This window comes from Homo sapiens, chromosome 6 (genome assembly GCF_000001405.40).
Source record: "Homo sapiens chromosome 6, GRCh38.p14 Primary Assembly".
Taxonomy (NCBI): Eukaryota; Metazoa; Chordata; class Mammalia; order Primates; family Hominidae; genus Homo; species Homo sapiens.
Genome location: NC_000006.12, coordinates 130,353,613 through 130,370,114, shown reverse-complemented (window position 1 = coordinate 130,370,114; position 16,502 = coordinate 130,353,613). Strand labels below are relative to the sequence as shown.

At 41.4% G+C, this 16,502-nt stretch overlaps 2 protein-coding genes across 11 annotated transcripts in view, besides 2 other annotated features; one reads left to right on the top strand and one right to left on the bottom strand.

Moving 5' to 3' along the window:
* TMEM200A (transmembrane protein 200A) overlaps window positions 1–4,584 on the bottom strand; it is a 77,537-nt gene extending 72,953 nt beyond the window's left edge. For 3 of the 8 annotated variants that reach the window (XM_005266816.4, XM_047418151.1, XM_047418155.1), the window contains exons 1-2: window positions 4,393–4,584; window positions 3,591–3,682 (exon numbers count right to left, since the gene is read on the bottom strand). The gene's annotated coding sequence lies outside the window, so the exon portion shown is untranslated. Of the gene's footprint in view, window positions 1–3,590; window positions 4,099–4,392 lie in introns of those variants that run through there. The other 5 variants (XM_047418153.1, NM_001258277.2, NM_001258276.2 and 2 more) reach the window with 2 other exon arrangements.
* The window catches only part of SAMD3 (sterile alpha motif domain containing 3), a 223,117-nt gene continuing 210,861 nt past the window's right edge, over window positions 4,247–16,502 (top strand). For all 3 annotated transcript variants that reach the window (XM_047418239.1, XM_024446335.2, NM_001258275.3), the window contains exon 1: window positions 4,247–4,995. The gene's annotated coding sequence lies outside the window, so the exon portion shown is untranslated. The remainder of the gene's footprint in view (window positions 4,996–16,502) is intronic.
* Window positions 4,565–4,664: a silencer, noted in NCBI's record as "silent region_17539". NCBI's record gives its function as "represses an Ori minimal core promoter by ATAC-STARR-seq in GM12878 lymphoblastoid cells {active_cell/tissue: GM12878}" and the evidence as "EXISTENCE:reporter gene assay evidence [ECO:0000049][PMID:35858748]".
* Window positions 7,624–7,824: a silencer, noted in NCBI's record as "peak6122 fragment used in MPRA reporter construct". NCBI's record gives its function as "represses an SCP1 promoter by STARR-seq MPRAs in K562 erythroleukemia cells {active_cell/tissue: K562}" and the evidence as "EXISTENCE:reporter gene assay evidence [ECO:0000049][PMID:32103011]".

Genomic DNA, 16,502 nt, shown 5'->3' with positions numbered 1-16,502 from the left:
ATGGGGAGAGAGAGAAAGAACCTCGACAAAGTTGTGTAAGTCTCTGAGTTCCAGCCATGATTGAAGCAAGGACCACCTTTGGACTTTCTGGTCCAATGAGCCAGTAAGTCCTTTTTTGCTTTACCTAGTTAAATATTCACACATGCAAGCAAATGAATCCTGAGTAACTCCCTTCTACATGAACACAAAGTGGGGTGGTGAACACACAGTTGGGTGGTAAGCAGAGACTTGTCCCCCCTTGGTGCACTTCATGCTCAGAGCAGAGTGATTAGGGCTCTACAGGAAGGAATGTACAGACACTCATCTTACACCTTTCTAGATTTCTATGCCTTCTGTGGAATTTCACCTCTGGTGACAAAGTTTCCAAAGCACAACTTGCAGAACACATCCTATCAATTAATGATACAGTGGCCCCAGAATCCTCGCCTTTATATGAAATGCATGGATTTCCTTTTTCCAGCATCACTAAAAGCTCTTGGAAGAGTCATATCAATTACTCTGTGATAGTCAAAGCCCCAGAATTCCTGCTGGGGAAAGGGGGACCTTAGAGGAGGAGTGGGCACAGAACAGGAGCAGTAAGATTAAACATCAATAATCAGAATTCAAGGCATTTCAGGAAGTCTTGAGCTCGTAATTGGAGACTTCTGTGTTCCAGAATGTAACCTAAATTCTTACGCAGAAATTCAACCTCACCTAAAATCTGACCCTAACCTTATGTCTCTCTCCTGTTTACTCAGGGTTTCCAAAGTGAGCTTTAGCTTCTCCTATCTCTACAAATCCTGCAGAAAGGCAGTGGCGCATACTGGTGCAGATGTGCTTTGCAGTATTAGTCCCAGCTTCATCACCTTTCTGCTCTAATTACTTCCGAGGGTTGTTACAAAAATCTATTGCATCATTTGTGAAAATTCATGGAAAACCACCCAGTACTAAGTGAAAGCTGGTATTTTTATTATTTTATTATGTATTTTCAATTCACATAATCAATGTTAGGTCAGATGTCCCAGGCCAGACATCTTTTACTTCTCTTTGCCATTTCCCATTCAATACAACTAGCAAGACCCTCCAGCCTGGCTTCCTTCAACCAAAACCCTACAAACCACCCTCCTACACACACACACTGACTTCTGTCTCTCTTTAATTCTGCCAGAATTTGCCTTGCAGCATTTTAAAGAGAGACCATAAAGATCGTCAGTCCAAAGCCCTCATTCTGCAGATAAGGGCACCAAGGAGCAGAAAGGTGGAGGAACTTAGCCACTTACCCACAGCCACCTAATTAGTGACTCAGTCAAGATGACAACTCCCCATCCAGGTCCCTCTGCAACCCACTATGCTGCTTCCCAGTCTGCACTGGTCCCCTGCTGCTCTCAGACCACCTCAGCTGCCAGGTGATCTGTGGTACATTTATCAGTCCCCTCTCCATCAGCCTATAAGCCCATAGAAAAGGCCTGGAAGGGTAGCTAGCATGACACCACAATAAGCACTCACTGATGTTTTCTGAGTGTTTGAGCACATATCAGATCTCAGCAGACAAAACATAGCGTAAGTCCAGGAACAAGTGGATCTGCTTGATAAAACTGTAAATCAGATATACATTCCTTAATAAAATGAGGTCCATCTCATTGCAGGTTTGGATTTCTGTTGCTGCACAAGTTATTTTTCCTCTTTTAAATTCTACCCTCTATTTGATAAGTAACGTGTATGACTACAAGGGCTTATTTTTTATCCTCTACTAATTTTGCTTAAGAAATGTAAAAGTTGACATTTGCTTTTATCTTTGTTCTTATCTATCTTCCTAAGCTAAATATGAATTTCTTTCCTTTATGCTAAGAGTCATCATGAGAAGTACAGCATTTAACCAATCAGTTCAGATCCGTTCCCTCTATATGTCAGTAGTTATCCTTTTCTGGCCAATGAGCTATTGTCAAAATTCTGAAGCTACACAAGTCCAAATATAACAATCTAACTCCTGTAGTATTCAAAAGCTTCACTAAAAATTCCACTAAGTTAAAATAACAAGTACAGCCATCCCTCTTTACAATGATCTTTCCTGAAGAATCCCTTCTGATTACGGGTGTCTTCAGACACTACAGCATTTACCTAGACCTGCCTCAAAGGCAACAGGTGAAGCCTTTCTGTGCTAACTGCCTGGAATTTACCTACAGGGACTTTCCATACAACTCTAATGAAGGCTTTCCCAGCCCAGATACAAAGCTAATTATAACCAGGGTTACAAATTATAGTTACATTATCTCATAATTATGAGCTATCTAGTAGGACTTGGTTAAAAAATCATTCTAAACACCTCAGTGTGTGTTTTTTACAGTAAAAAAATCATACTGTTAAATTGTCAAAGCATTTAACTATAGTTTCCACTTAATGGAAGCATTATTTTCTGTTTAGAAGGACTTCTATTCTTCACTTGAGGTGTTTATAAAGAATGAAACTACAACTACATACTTCTGTGTAGGTAAACAGTGGGAAAATAAAGTAAGGTTTAAAAAGTTTCAAAATTTAGTCTACTTTTCACAAAATGATAATGCTTTCTAGTATCAGTAGCCAAATAACAAATTGAAGGTCTTTTTATAAGTGTTCCATAATTCAAGAAACGACAAAGTAAATAGCTTTCACAAGCTCTGGTAATATTTATGCATACAGCACTATAGAAAGTGTGCCTCAAACTTGGTTTGATTGCAAAACCGAGAGTTCAATATTCTTTCTTATAAACAAGAATAATCATCGATTCTTGAAATGTTTTCTATGCAGTTGTCCATAACTACTTCTGAAGGTATTCAGAAGAGACAAGGCAAGAGACACTTTAGTCCAACATATTTAGTTTTTAAATACACCAGACTAAGGTGGACCGGACTAAGGCTGATTCCAATTAGTCAATTACCTGTATGTGCTGCATCTGCCTTTCTCTCCGACATTACCAATGCCCGGTACTGAACAATGAATTGTTATTTAAAAAAAACACACAAACACACACACATTTTTCTAAATCAAACAGCGGTAAATACACACAGAGAGCTTGCGCCTACACAATGTGAAGTGTTGGCTGGAACAATTTATAGCAAAAGAATGATTAATGAAGCAAATCTTAGAAGCCCTCAGTCCTTTCTCTTACAGACAAGACTACAGGGAGAAGAGTAGTGCTGAATTTTGCAAATAATTGCTTTGCCTCTCCATTTTGCCTGTGTAGATTCTACCCCATCCAGATACTGCTTTACGAAACCCTGACCATACTTTGCTCAATCATGAATTAACGCTGTGGACATTACAGAGAATGCTGACTCTCAGGAACCGAGACAAAGGAGGGTGTTGCTTGGAGAAACCCAGCCAGGCGCTCCAGTACTCCGGGTTCTTGGAGGCTGCCCCGCACGGCTTCTCTCGCGCTCCCGGGACTGGGGAGTCTGGACCTGATGGCGGACTTGGTTTATTTCCCAAACTTTAGGAGAGACAGCGTTTACCTAACTCTGGAGGCTGTAGCGGAGGGGAGGGGAGGGCAGAGGGCTGAAGAAGTGCCCGGTTTCGGCTGCGGTGGCCGCCCACCCACCTCCCCACTCCCGTCAGCACCCTTTCCTTCCCCTCACCTGTCCTGAGCACCGGGCCCTGGGGGTCGGGTCGCCTCTCCCTGTTCTCAGTCCTGGTCTCACTCCAGGAGCTGTCGGGACGTCGGGCGCCTCTGGAGGCGGACGAAGAAGGCGGCAGGGTCGGGGGCGTCAGCGGGAATCTCGGCCGCCGCGGGCAGCCGCGGTCTCCCTCCCCATCCCAGGGCTCGGGCGGCCACCGCGGGCGGATGAGTCAGGCGAGGGGGCGGGTGGCAAGGGGTGCAAGCGGACGGAGGGTGGGGGCGCCCCTATGCCCGCGCCGGGGGGGCACCGGAGGCCTCGGGGCAGGGGATGCGCCGCTGCCGGTGCTCACAGAGGGCCGCCGCCATCCGGGCGCAGAGTCCAGGCGCGCCTGCCCTCGGAGGGCACCGGGCGCAGCAAGCCGGGCAGGGGAGAGGGAGTCGCCGCTCAGGCGGCGCCGCCACCGCGTCCAAGAAAGACAAAAGGGACCGGGAACGGGAGGGGAAAAGTTTTCTGCTCGGCTCCAGATGGATCCCAGCCCCAAACCTCACGCCATAAAGCCCCGAAGAGGCGGGTTGGGGGCGGGGGCCGGGGCGGACTTCCAGGGGCGTGGCTGCGCGCCTGCGACCCCGGACCGTGCCAATCTCGCCGCCGCCCCAAAACCTGTGGGAAACCCCAGTCCTGCCACCCACTCCTCCTGGAGGACGCAGACAGGATCTGCTCTGCAGGAGCCCAGGCCGGCCGATCCGCGTCCCGGCCACAAAGTTGCACTTCGAGAGCCCAAATCACCCGCAGACAAAACCCATCTTTGGGAACAAAGTACCCGCTTGCAGGCGCTCTTCCCGGGCTGGAAGGCTGGCGTGCGGAAACGGACACACCCACCCGTGGGGCCCGCCTCTAGCTACCGCGGGACCACCGGTTACCGAGCCAGGGACCCGGCTCCCCCAGTTCTCCGGAGCGGCTGGGGAGCTCCAGCCGACTCGCAGTATTCCCGGAGCAGGCACCGCAGGACCCTGGCTCCACGCCCCTCGGACGCTTTCTCCTCAGATGCCGCCCGGCGGGCCGGGGTCCCCCTGGCGGGCTGCGCGGGCGCTGCGCGAGCTAAACCAAACCTGGCCGGAAAAGACGCGGCCAAGGCCCGCTCCGTCCACGCTTCCCGCCGGCCCGGCAAGGGGTTCCGGAGAACGGCTTGGGGGGGCGAGAACCATGGGCGGGGGAAATGGAAGACAGAGGGAACTGAAGCACGGGGGTCTTCGATGAGCAGTGCGGATGTTCGACTCCAAACATCAAAGCCAACGAGAGGTTCAGGTTACTCCTCCTTGACCCCAAACATCCAGTGAGTGGAGACTGGCCTGTTCACAGAGTAAAATATGTCGTCTCTAATTCGGCAAAGACGGTGATGACTGTATATATGCAGGCCAATTCCGTAAGTAAAGTTTCATGTAAAACTAATTACCGGATATTCCAACCACCCCCTGTGCAGGCCAGCCGCATGCACAAGGTGTGTGCTATGCTTGTGTCCCCTGGATCTGTTTTAAGTGATAGAAGGCAAGTATGATATTCTGGTGCAGTGTATTTGTTTATTTCGGCGTGTGATCTGTTTATCTCGTTTTCAAGAAAAGTTTGCTTCTGGGGGGGTATAAAATCCGTGTTTGGGGGGTGGGGGAGAGCCATGCAAAAATTTCCACATTAGAAAAAAAAGTCTTTAAAATCAGATATGGCAATGAGAAGAGACTGTAGAAATGGATTTCCTGTGGTATAACCTTCTTGCCTTGACTAGAAGAATTTAGAGATTGGGCACTTTTAGTGGAGATGTCACAATCAAAATGTTTTATAAAAAGAAAGAAAAGAAAACTAAAGGAGTTACGGTGGGGGAAGGATGAGTCACCTTTATAAACCATCTGTGGTTTTATTTTTACCCCACCTGCATCTAGTATTCTAGCCCACAGCCACCTGCTCAATTCTCTTAGGTTTTCTTAAATGTGTTTGTCAAGCACCATATCAAAGGAGTGTGCTTCCATTGGGCCCTCTTCCTAGTTACCTCTACATTTTATAAAGAAACACCCTGAAGCCACATTGTCTGTAAAGCTCCTGAGAGGAAACACCTCCTGGTTCCCCTCACTATCTAAGGAGTGAGTAATAGGAATAGGCTCATAGTCCATAGATCATTTGAGGTGACATCCTCTCTAAGACCCATGGTAAAACGTTTAAAATGGTCATCTAGCCATTTTAAGCATTGAGTGACTGAGCCGTCCTCAAAAAGAGACTGATGAGAGCCATGAAAAAAGGAATAAGCACATTCTTAAGGCCACAGATATTGATGCTTCCTCATTTATGAACTATGAACTCAGATTTTAGTGATTTACCAAAAAAGAAGAAAGATAGACTAAGTAAAATCACCAAAAGGGAATTATTTAGATTTCTTTTTAAAATAATTACTATTAGTCTCAGAAGAGGCGGGTAAAATGGCCTGTAAATAGAGGATTATTTGCAATTCAGTAGTCCGAGCAACTCTCAACACATTAGTTATAAATTTTCCCTGACCTTGAGTGCTCAAGGGAATCTCAGGTAAATTATTTATCCTTACTAATGGCCAATATCTTCCCATCTGACAGTGAATATACCATGCCAGTAATGGATTTTGAATTCAGCTACACATCGGCTTTGGAAATAATGGATAGAAGTCAACTATTTTCTACTTCTCGCCATCAAGTAGCACTGCACTTCACACATAATATTTTTTGCTGTGTCTATATGAGATATGTAAATTTCCACTAGAACAAGCCCATCTTATAAGAGTGCATAGTAGAAAGAGAGTAATCCAAGTGTCCTGTAATCCAAGCTCCACCACCTACTAACAGAGGGACTTGGTACCTCATTTCTCCCATCCCTTAAGTAGGAACAAAGTATCTATTTCAAAGTGTTGTGAAAATTGAATGAAATGATGTGTATAATATTCTTCCTACAAGTCACAGATCCTCAATACATATGTGATTGAACATATATACACTCACATCAAACTTGTTTTAATGCAATTAACATCATCAAAAAAAGGCTCTTCCTCTGGAATCAAGAATTAACATGAAAAAAGGTCAAAATATGAAGATCAACATTTTCACTCTTGGTATAGTATTATAAAAGTCTGATGGATGGCAATTCATATTTAATGAATTAATTTTGGAAACATACGTTGAAATGAAAAAGAATGAGTATTCTTAAGAGGTCATGTAACAAGGCTAAGAGAAGGGCTATTAGAAAATTTGTGTGGGATTATATTCATTTCCTCTTGCCTTAAATGTAGCCCATAGCATTTTTAGGCCTGAGAAGGGATCCTTAAACAGAAAATAAAAATGTCTTCAATGGGAAAAAATAGAATTGTTTGCTAGATTTTTATCTGAATGGCTTTGTTCTTGATGTGAAATAGATTGATAGTCTTAAAACCCCTGTAGTATTTCTGCTAGCAGCCATGGGTGCTTTTTCAAAGTAGAGGGTAAAGTCAATAAAGAAAATGAACTTTCTGACTTTATTCTTGAAATAAGTAAATAGGGGGAGGAATATAGGATAAAGAAAAAGGTAGAGGAAATATATTTAAAAATAAAATTTTAAGGTCATTTTTATTTCACCGTGATTTTGAATAGCACTTTGTCATACTTTTCATGTTTTCTTTCTCATTATGTGCAATTGACTAATAGTTCAGTGGATTTCACAGCAGAAAGATGTTGCTAATTTCTTTTCTGTTCATTAAATGTGCAAGTAACAGTGCTAACCCCTCTCAGATTGATGTTTTATAATGTTGAGGCTGATACGACTACTTAAATATTTATAAATTCTGTATTAGATACAGAATCATCTATATTAGATAATCAGATACCTCCTTGTTAGATAATAAACCTGATTAGATTCTTTTTGCCTGAGGGGCACTGGCAGCGTACCATTTAGAAATGTGAAAGGAGCCATACTCTCTCCCTTCCAAAGCCCAGTTCTTTCCTCTGAACAGATTTGTGCCTGTTGAAGGATAATCACCAAGTAGCTTATAGAAATCCAAAAATTACTTTTTAAAGATTTTGACTGTTTTTGTTGCAAGAATCTACCTGTAGAAGATAATAGAGATTTGACTGAAATGAGAGAAGATGGTAGTGGTGGCCCACCTGTTCCACTGTCCATGGTACTGAACCAGTCATTCTTTCGTTAGTGCCTGACTACTCAAAAGCATAGTCCGAGACTCGGCAATATTTGCATCACGGGGGAACTGTTAGAATAGCAAGATCTCAGGCCCTTGCCCAAACCTATTAAATCATACTCTGCAACTCAGCAACATACTCAAGTGATCTGTCTGCATGTTAATATTTGAAAAGCACTGCACTAGGGCACTGTTCATATGTCCTCTGACTTCCCTGGTGCTCTGCTTATATCAGCCTTCACTTCAGTCCCTTCCAGAAGCACAGCCCAAATGCTGCCTTTTTAGCTACATTTCAGTTGGTGATGGTGGTGTGGTGTTACACAGAGAGCATAGCCTTTGACCCGAACAGCCGGGCTAAAATATTAACTTTTACTGACTATTCTGGGTTTAATTGCCCTCATCCATAAACTGCCAATAATTTTAACATGTCCACATAACACTGATTTAAGTGTTCACTGATAATAAAATTATAGTTGTAAAACATTTGGGTCGGCATGTAGCAGATGTTCAACAAATCTCTCAGGCACTGTGTGAGTGATACTTCCCCAACCCAAGAAGGGGTGCCTCTCAGCATAACATTCTCAGACACTGTGAAAATTTATTGTAAAAGAATTTAATTCTGCAGTTTCTGCTCAATCAAAACAGTACAACCACATTAAATTAGTTGACAAAATAAAATTTTAAAATTCACTACATCATCTTTCTGTTTGGGATTTATCCATCCATAATCATGATCTAGAGTAAAGAAAAATAAGGTTTTTCTTAACAATTTTATTAGATCTGTTTTTATTAAATTAGAACAAAACTACTTGGCATCTTGAATTCTAAAATGTTTATAAATATCAAGATTTCTTAATCCTACAGCCAACAGACTGTACACACATACAGCTGAGTTTGTAAACAGTAATCATTTAGACCTGAATTAAGCCACAATTTTGGTAAAATATAATGCAGTTTAAATCGTGCTATTTAGGGGTCCAGGGAATACCCTTTCATGTTGCGGGAAGTCAGGGACCCCCAAACGGAGGGACCAGCTGAAGCCATGGCAGAAGAACATGGATTGTGAAGATTTCATGGACATTTATTAGTTCCCCCAAATTAATACTTTTATAATTTCTTATGCCTGTCTTTACTGCAATCTCTAAACACAAATTGTGAAGTTTTCATGGACACTTATCACTTCCCCAATCAATATCCTTGTGATTTCCTATGCCTGTCTTTACTTTAATCTCTTAATTCTGTCATCTCGTAAGCTGAGGAGGATATATGTTGCCTCAGGACCCTGTGATAATTGCGTTAACTGCACAAATTGTAGAGCATGTGTGTTTGAAGAATATGAAATCTGGGCACCTTGAAAAAAGAACAGTATAACAGCAATTGTTCAGGGAATAAGAGAGATAACCTTAAACTCTGACCTCCAGTGAGCCGGGCGGGACAGAGCCATATTTCTCTTCTTTCAAAAGCAAATGGGAGAAATATTGCTGAATTATTTTCTCAGCAATGAACATCCCTGAGAAAGAGAATATGCCCCTGAGGGTGGGTCTCTAAAATGGCCCCCTTGGGTGTGGCCATCTTCTATGGTCGAAACTGTAGGGATGAAATAAATCCCAGTCTCCCATAGCGCTCCCAGGCTTATTAGGAAGAGGAAATTCACGCCTAATAAATTTTGGTCAGACTGGTTGCTCTCAAACCCTGTCTCCTGATAAGATGTTATCAATGACAATGGTGCCCGAAACTTCATTAGCAATTTTAATTTTGCCCCGGTCCTGTGGTCCTGTGTTCTCACCCTGCCTCCATTTGCCTTGTGATATTCTATTACCTTGTGAAGTACATGATCTTTGTGACCCACACCCTATTCGTACACTCCCTCCTCTTTGAAAGTCCCTAATAAAAACTTACTGGTTTTGTGGCTTGTGGGACATCACAGAACCTACCAACATGTGATGTCTCCCCCAGATGCCCAGCTTTAAAATTTCTCTCTTTTGTGCTCTGTCCCTTTATTTCTCAACCTGGCCGACACTTAGGGAAAATAGAAAAGGACCTACATGACTATTGGGGCAGGTTCCCCGATACTTTCACACATTTCTTTTGGAACATGAGAAAACGTTGGCACATTCATTTTTCAAGAGAAACTTCAAACCTGATAATCTGTTCTGTAAACAATAGTCATTTAATGAGTTTTGACACTGGGGATTATTGCTCATTGTGTCATTGCTGATCTAGAAACACCTGTTTATATAAGGAAATAAGCTGCAATGAACTTGAGCATGTCAGATCTTCTCTTAGACATTACATTTATTCTTTGCATTAGATACCATTCTTTGCCACTCCTTCAATTTTTAGTTTATGAACACAAGTGCCCAGCTTAAGATCACATAACCACAGAATGACAGGGCCATGGCTGGAAACTGGATCTTCCTATTCCTAGTTCAGTACTTATTTAGCACTCATAAAACATGACTCATGTTAGAGTGCTTTACAGGTCCCAAGTGATTGAAAGATTTAGCATATCCCTGGAAGCTATGCATTTTCCCAGCCTTACCACTCCTTCACACCTAAGGAAACAGCCTTGTGATAAAATGTGAGTAGAGTTTCAGTTTTAGATTGTTCTTTTATTAATTCAGAAAGCATTCACATAATGTATTGGGCATTATATTCAGTTGGGCTGTATAGAAATGAGCGAGTGAGAGCCCTTTTCTGCATATTTATTGTGGTCTGGTGTGTTTGGCATCTTTGTAAGCACATAGCTGCAGTATGAAAAGTGCCCTAATGGGTACAAAATGGTGATATAAAATAAGGATCATCAGAAATCCTTTGTTCAAAGGAGAATTCAAAGACATAGGGATCCAAGATCTTGGCTCTGAAAGATGCAGAGACTTCAAAAGGTAGACAAGGATGTAACAGAATTCAAAGAGAGGGAAATGTGTGTGCAATTTCCAGAAAAGAACACAGTATTGTGCACTCAGAGAAGTGTAGGAAGAATCACTGTGGCTGGAGTGTGGGAAGGCATAGGAGAAATAGGCAGAGGCCAGCTTACAGTGGGCTTTGCATTCCAGATTAAGAATTTGTTCTGTGTACTCAAACAAATCAGACCCAATCAAAAGTTGAAGTTTAGATACATATAAAATCAGTGGATTTTAGTATTGTATATAGTGATAAAAATATCATATAAAATTATTATACAGTACTTACTATGAAATGGGCACTATTCTAAGCATTTTATAACTATTAACTCTTCATAATAGTCTTTTAGAGCAAGCACTAATTTTTTCTCCATTTTACAGCTGAAATAACTGGAGTAAGGGAGATTAAGTAGTTTATCCAAGTAAGTAAGTGGAGGAACTGGGCTCATGAGCCCACGCAGTCTGATGCTAAGGCCTGTGCTCTCAACAACTGTGATAGCTACCTCTTGGTGAAACTGGAAATCACCTCTGTGCCCATCAATAAAAGACTACTTAAATTACAACATGTTCATACAATGGAATACCATGCAGCATTAGACAAAAGATCTATATCCACGGATATGAGTAGGGGTTAAGGAGACATTGTTAGTGAGAAAATAACTTGTAGAATCTTGTATAGTGTGATCCCATCTTTGTTAAAATGTGTGTGTGTGTGTGTGTGTGTGTGTGTGTGTGTAAGACATAGTGGGATATACACAAAAATATTAACAGAGGCTACCAATGGGGAATGAAATTGAAGAGTAAGGGTATTACTCTAAATTTTTATTTTAGACAATTTTTTTCTTTCAAAATTTTCTTAGTGAAATTGTATTATTTTGATAATGAACAGTTTAAAAAAATAACAACAACAACCATCAAGCCCTTTTCCTCCTCTGTCAACTGTGGACACAGCAGTCAGATGGAGCTTACTGATAAATGACAGATTTTGGAAGTTCACCTTCACATTTTCAGAACTTTCCTGACATGTACACACAACAACAAATTTAAAAACTGGATTTCACCTTAGAATTGATCAGCTAAGATGCAAGATTTTTGGAATCCTTAATGAGATCTGCAATCAGAATTGAAAGCTTCCTGAAATCCCAGTGTGTCTAAAAGCAAGTTTTAAGGAATCTTCTGGCAAGTGTAATCAATGTGAAGCTTCCTTCCATTTGCTTCTTTTAGATACGTGAAAGAATAATTTACTTCAAAACACAGAAAAAGGCAAGGTAATGGTTGCTTGATTTTTAAATATCCTGCTAGGGAAAATGTTATCTACTTAGATTCTTCTGCTTCTATGTCAAAGAAAATGCAGCTTTCTGCCAAAGGATATTTGATTATCAACCCACAGTAGATAAAAAGAGCAGACAGAAAATAATAAATTTTTACTATGAGAGAAATTAACTCTACTCACTAGTCTTATACCTAATTTAGTATTTCCTTTCCTACTGACAAGGTAAATCTTCATTTCTCAAGTACTTGCCAAATCAGCTCTTTTGTCTTCCTGTTAATGTCCTCATTACTTACTTAAACAAAATTTTGGCATGTGCCAACAAAAAACATGATGACCGTGCTTTCACAAAGTTTACCCAAACATACTCATGAGCAATGCTCTTTTACAGTGTTTAATAAAGTGTGTCAGGTAGCAGCAGGTTTTTCCTTCACAGGTTGATCAATTACCTACTAGAGATTTGAAATTATTTTTTTAACATTGAGAGGGAAGATACACATTAGAATGTTGGAGCTCCGAGAGTTTAACTTGCCAAGGATCTAGCAGCAAACGAATGTTAAGGCTAGGACAAGAACACAGGTCTCCTGTCTTCATGTTCATTATCCCCTATGCAAAAATACTCTCTTAATGGGAAATGGTTATAACAGGAGTACAGGTGGTTTGCCAGGGGCTACTGCAAGTCAGGAGTTAATGTGGTACAGCCTCCTGGCTGAGCAATTTTGCTGGATGATTGAAGGGAGATTTTTTTTAACTGAAATTAAAAGATGCCGGCCGGGTGTGGTGGCTCACGCCTGTAATCCCAGGACTTTGGGAGGCCGAGGCGGGCAGATCATGAGGTCAGGAGATCAAGACCATCCTGGCTAACACGGTGAAACCCCGTCTCTACTAAAAATACAAAAAATTAGCCTGGCGTGGTGGTGGGCACCTGTAGTCCCAGCTACTCGGGAGGCTGAGGCAGGAGAATGGCGTGAACCCGGGAGGCGGAGCTTGCAGTGAGCCAAGATCACGCCACTGCACTCCAGCCTGGGTGACAAAGTGAGACTCCGTCTCAAAAAAAAAAAAAAAAAAAAAAAAGATGCCATGGCAGATAATTTTTTAAATCTCATAGATTTTTAAAGATAAAATACAAAATATCAAGAAATTCTGCATTCCCATCTAATGATTTGACCTATGTGCCCACTTCATGATACAGTAGATACAAAGGTAAAAGTCCGTTTTCCTCAGCAAAAGGGATAGTTTGATGGAAGTGTTTGTGAATCACTTGCAAAATGGGAAGCTAAGCAACATTGAGTCACTCAGATTTGAAAGCATATGAAATATGAATTAATTGTGGCTGTCTGGTTGTCCTCTTAATTTCTTCCCTGTAGTCCCAACAGGTAAGTGACTTCTTCATAGAAATGGGAACTTACTAGGTCCAGAAAAGAACAAAAGATTGAGGATTGAGCTCAATTCAATGAGCTCCACCCTCAGAGAAAAAAGGAAAACTAGCAAAGCTGTTGGGCACTCTGGTACCGTCTACAGGAATATCAGAAACAATCAACTTGTGATAACAACTATTTGTTCCTTTATTCAATACACTTTTCATGTGTTCCTACTACTATGTTCCAGACCATAGTCTTCACCCTTAATGACTTAGATGCCGGAGGGGCAGATAATAATTACATATGTAATATAATGTTTGGAAATGATACATGCTATGAAGAAAAATAAGGTAGGGTAAGAGGCTAGACAGTAATCCTGGGATGAGAATGTGGTTTTATATAGAATATCAGAGAAGTTCTCTTTAGGATGTAATATTTGAGCAGATATCTGCATAAAATAAGGCAGAAGCTTTACAGATATCTGTAGCCGGGGCAGACCAGGCTGAGGAAAAGGCAAATGCAGAAACTCTGAGCTAGAGTGTTCTGGGTATGTGTAGGGACCAACCAGACGGCCCTTCCAGCTGAGAAGATGAGGAAAAGGGTGAATACTGATTGATGAGAGAGGATAAGGAGTCAGAGACCTGGTCATCCAGGGCTTTGTAGGACTCAGGTTTTGATTATAGGTTTGATGGGAAACCAACGAAGACTTTAAAACAGTGAGTGACTTGATCTTATTTATATGTTGTACAATCTGATTCGCATTTTCACAATCCTGAGAATTTAGCAAGATTTTCAAACTGATGGCAATTGAAAAAAAGGAACAGACAAAATAGGCTGCACCTCTAAAAGGCTGTAGCAAGGAAAAATGGCACTGATGGGAAAGTGTCTCAGAATGGAAAAGACAGTGTGGAATTTTAATTGATGTAAATCTTTTGTGGTTTCTCCAAATATTCACTAAATCATGCGCTCTACACTTTGTGTGAGATGTTTCTCTAATAGCCACTGGGCTGAAGTACTCCTGCTTCTTCTTGTGGTGTTTCTGGGGCTGCCCCTCTTGTCTCTGACCCCTCTTACTGGTGCTTCTCCATTTTTCCTGTGTCTGTCATGTCATCTTGCCTCACTAATGATAGATCCCTGGGGACTACCCCACTGAAGCACAATTTTCTTTTATTGCCTGGTGGGTTTAGCATTTTTCTGTTTGAAAATGGTATTTCTTGATAGTAAGAGCATCATGTGACCACAACCTTCCTCCATTAGAGAAGATGTTATGTCTTTTCAGTCTTTGAAACTACATGGATAAACAAAAAGAACTGGATTAAGGAAGAGTTGTACATGTCATTCAAGTTTAAAAACGGAGGTGACACCAATGTAAGTTGCATCCTTATTTTTTATTTTATTTTATTTTTTTGAGACAGAGTCTCACTCTGTCACCTAGGCTGGAGTGCAGTGGTGCAATATCAGCTCATTGCAACCTCCGCCTCAGAGGTTCAAATGATTCTCCTGCCTCAGCCTCCTGAGTAGCTGATATTACAGGTGTATGCTACCATGCTCGGCTAATTGTTGTATTTTTAGTAGAGACGGGGTTTCACCATGTTGGCTAGGCTGGTCTCGAGCTCCCGGCCTCAGGTGATCCACCTGCCTTGGCCTCCCAAAGTGCTAGGATCACAGGCGTGAGCCACCGTGCCTGGGCAGTTGCATCCTTATTGTAAACAAATGTACCCTACAGGTGCTGCTACAGATGGCATGTAGGATGCAAAGTTCTGAAGTTCACTTTATCTGGGAAACCTACACATCACTGATTGCTGAGGAGGTCAGAGTCTTTAAAGATAAACTTTTTCTGCATTTTTAATAATCAGTTGATTTCCCAAGGGGAGTGTGGCTCTGGAATGCCATATCCTTTTTTTTTAGTTTAGCACTGGTTTAAAAGGTTAGCAGGTCTCAAAGGAGGCTCTGCTATCTCTTCAAATTTGAATTAGCACCATCAGCTATGCCAAGGGACATCTACTTTAATTTATTTTTGTTAACTTTTATTTCAGGTTTACGGGTACATGTGCAGGTTTGTTATATAGGTAAATTCGTGTCACAGAGGGTTGTTGACAGATTATTTTGTCACCCGTGTACTAAACCTGGTGCCCAATAGTTATTTTTTTAATCCTCTCCCTTCCCCACCCTTCACCCTCACATAGGCCCCAGTGTCTGTTGTTTCTCATCATTTAGCTCCCACTTATAAGTGAGAACATGTGATATTTGGTTTTCTGTTACTACATTAGTTTGCTAAGGATGATGGCCTCCTGCCCCATCCATGTTGCTGCAAAGGATGTGATCTCTTTCTTTTTTATGGCTGCATAGTATTCCATGGTGTATATGTACCACATTTTCTTTATCCAGTCTACCAGTGGTGAGCAATTTAGGTGGATTCCATGTCTGCTATTGTGAATAGCACTGCAGTGAACATATGCATGAATGTGTCTTTATGATAGAACAATTTACATTACTTTGGGTATATACTCAGTAATGGGATTACTGGGTCAAATGGTAGGTCTGTTTTTAGGTCTTTAAGGAATTACCACACTTCTTTCCACAATGGTTGAACTAATTTACACTCCCACCAACAGTGTATGAGCATTCCTTTTTCTCTACAACCTCACTAGCATCTGTTATTTTTTTGACTTTTTAATAATAGCCATTCTGACTGGTGTGAGATAGTATCTCACTGTGGTTTTGATTTGCATTTCTCTAATGATCAGTGATGTTGAGCTTGTTTTCATATGCTCGTTGGCTGCATGTATGTCTTCTTTTGAAAAGTTTCTGTTCATGTCCTTTGCCCACTTTTTAATGGGGTTGTTTGTTTTTTTCTTGCAAAGTTGTTTACGTTCCTTATAGATGCTGGATATTAGACTTTTTTTCAGATGCATAGTTTGCAAATATTTTCTACTCTTCTGTAGATTGTCTGTTTACTCCATTGATAGTTTCTTTTGCTGTGGAATACCATACTTTTAAGGAGAACTGATGTCTGAGATATGGCTTATAGCCTGCAGACACAGATGTGTATCCCTCTGTGAGTCTCGGATTTTTAGGGGAGTTAGTTTGATCTTTCCTTCTGGTCTCATTTGTCTTCTACTCTTCCCTTTGTCCCTTTGCTCCCTAAAATAGTGTATTTGAGATGGCTGATGTAGAAGTCAAAGCTTATTTTGGATAACCAATTTTATTTTTGTAGTA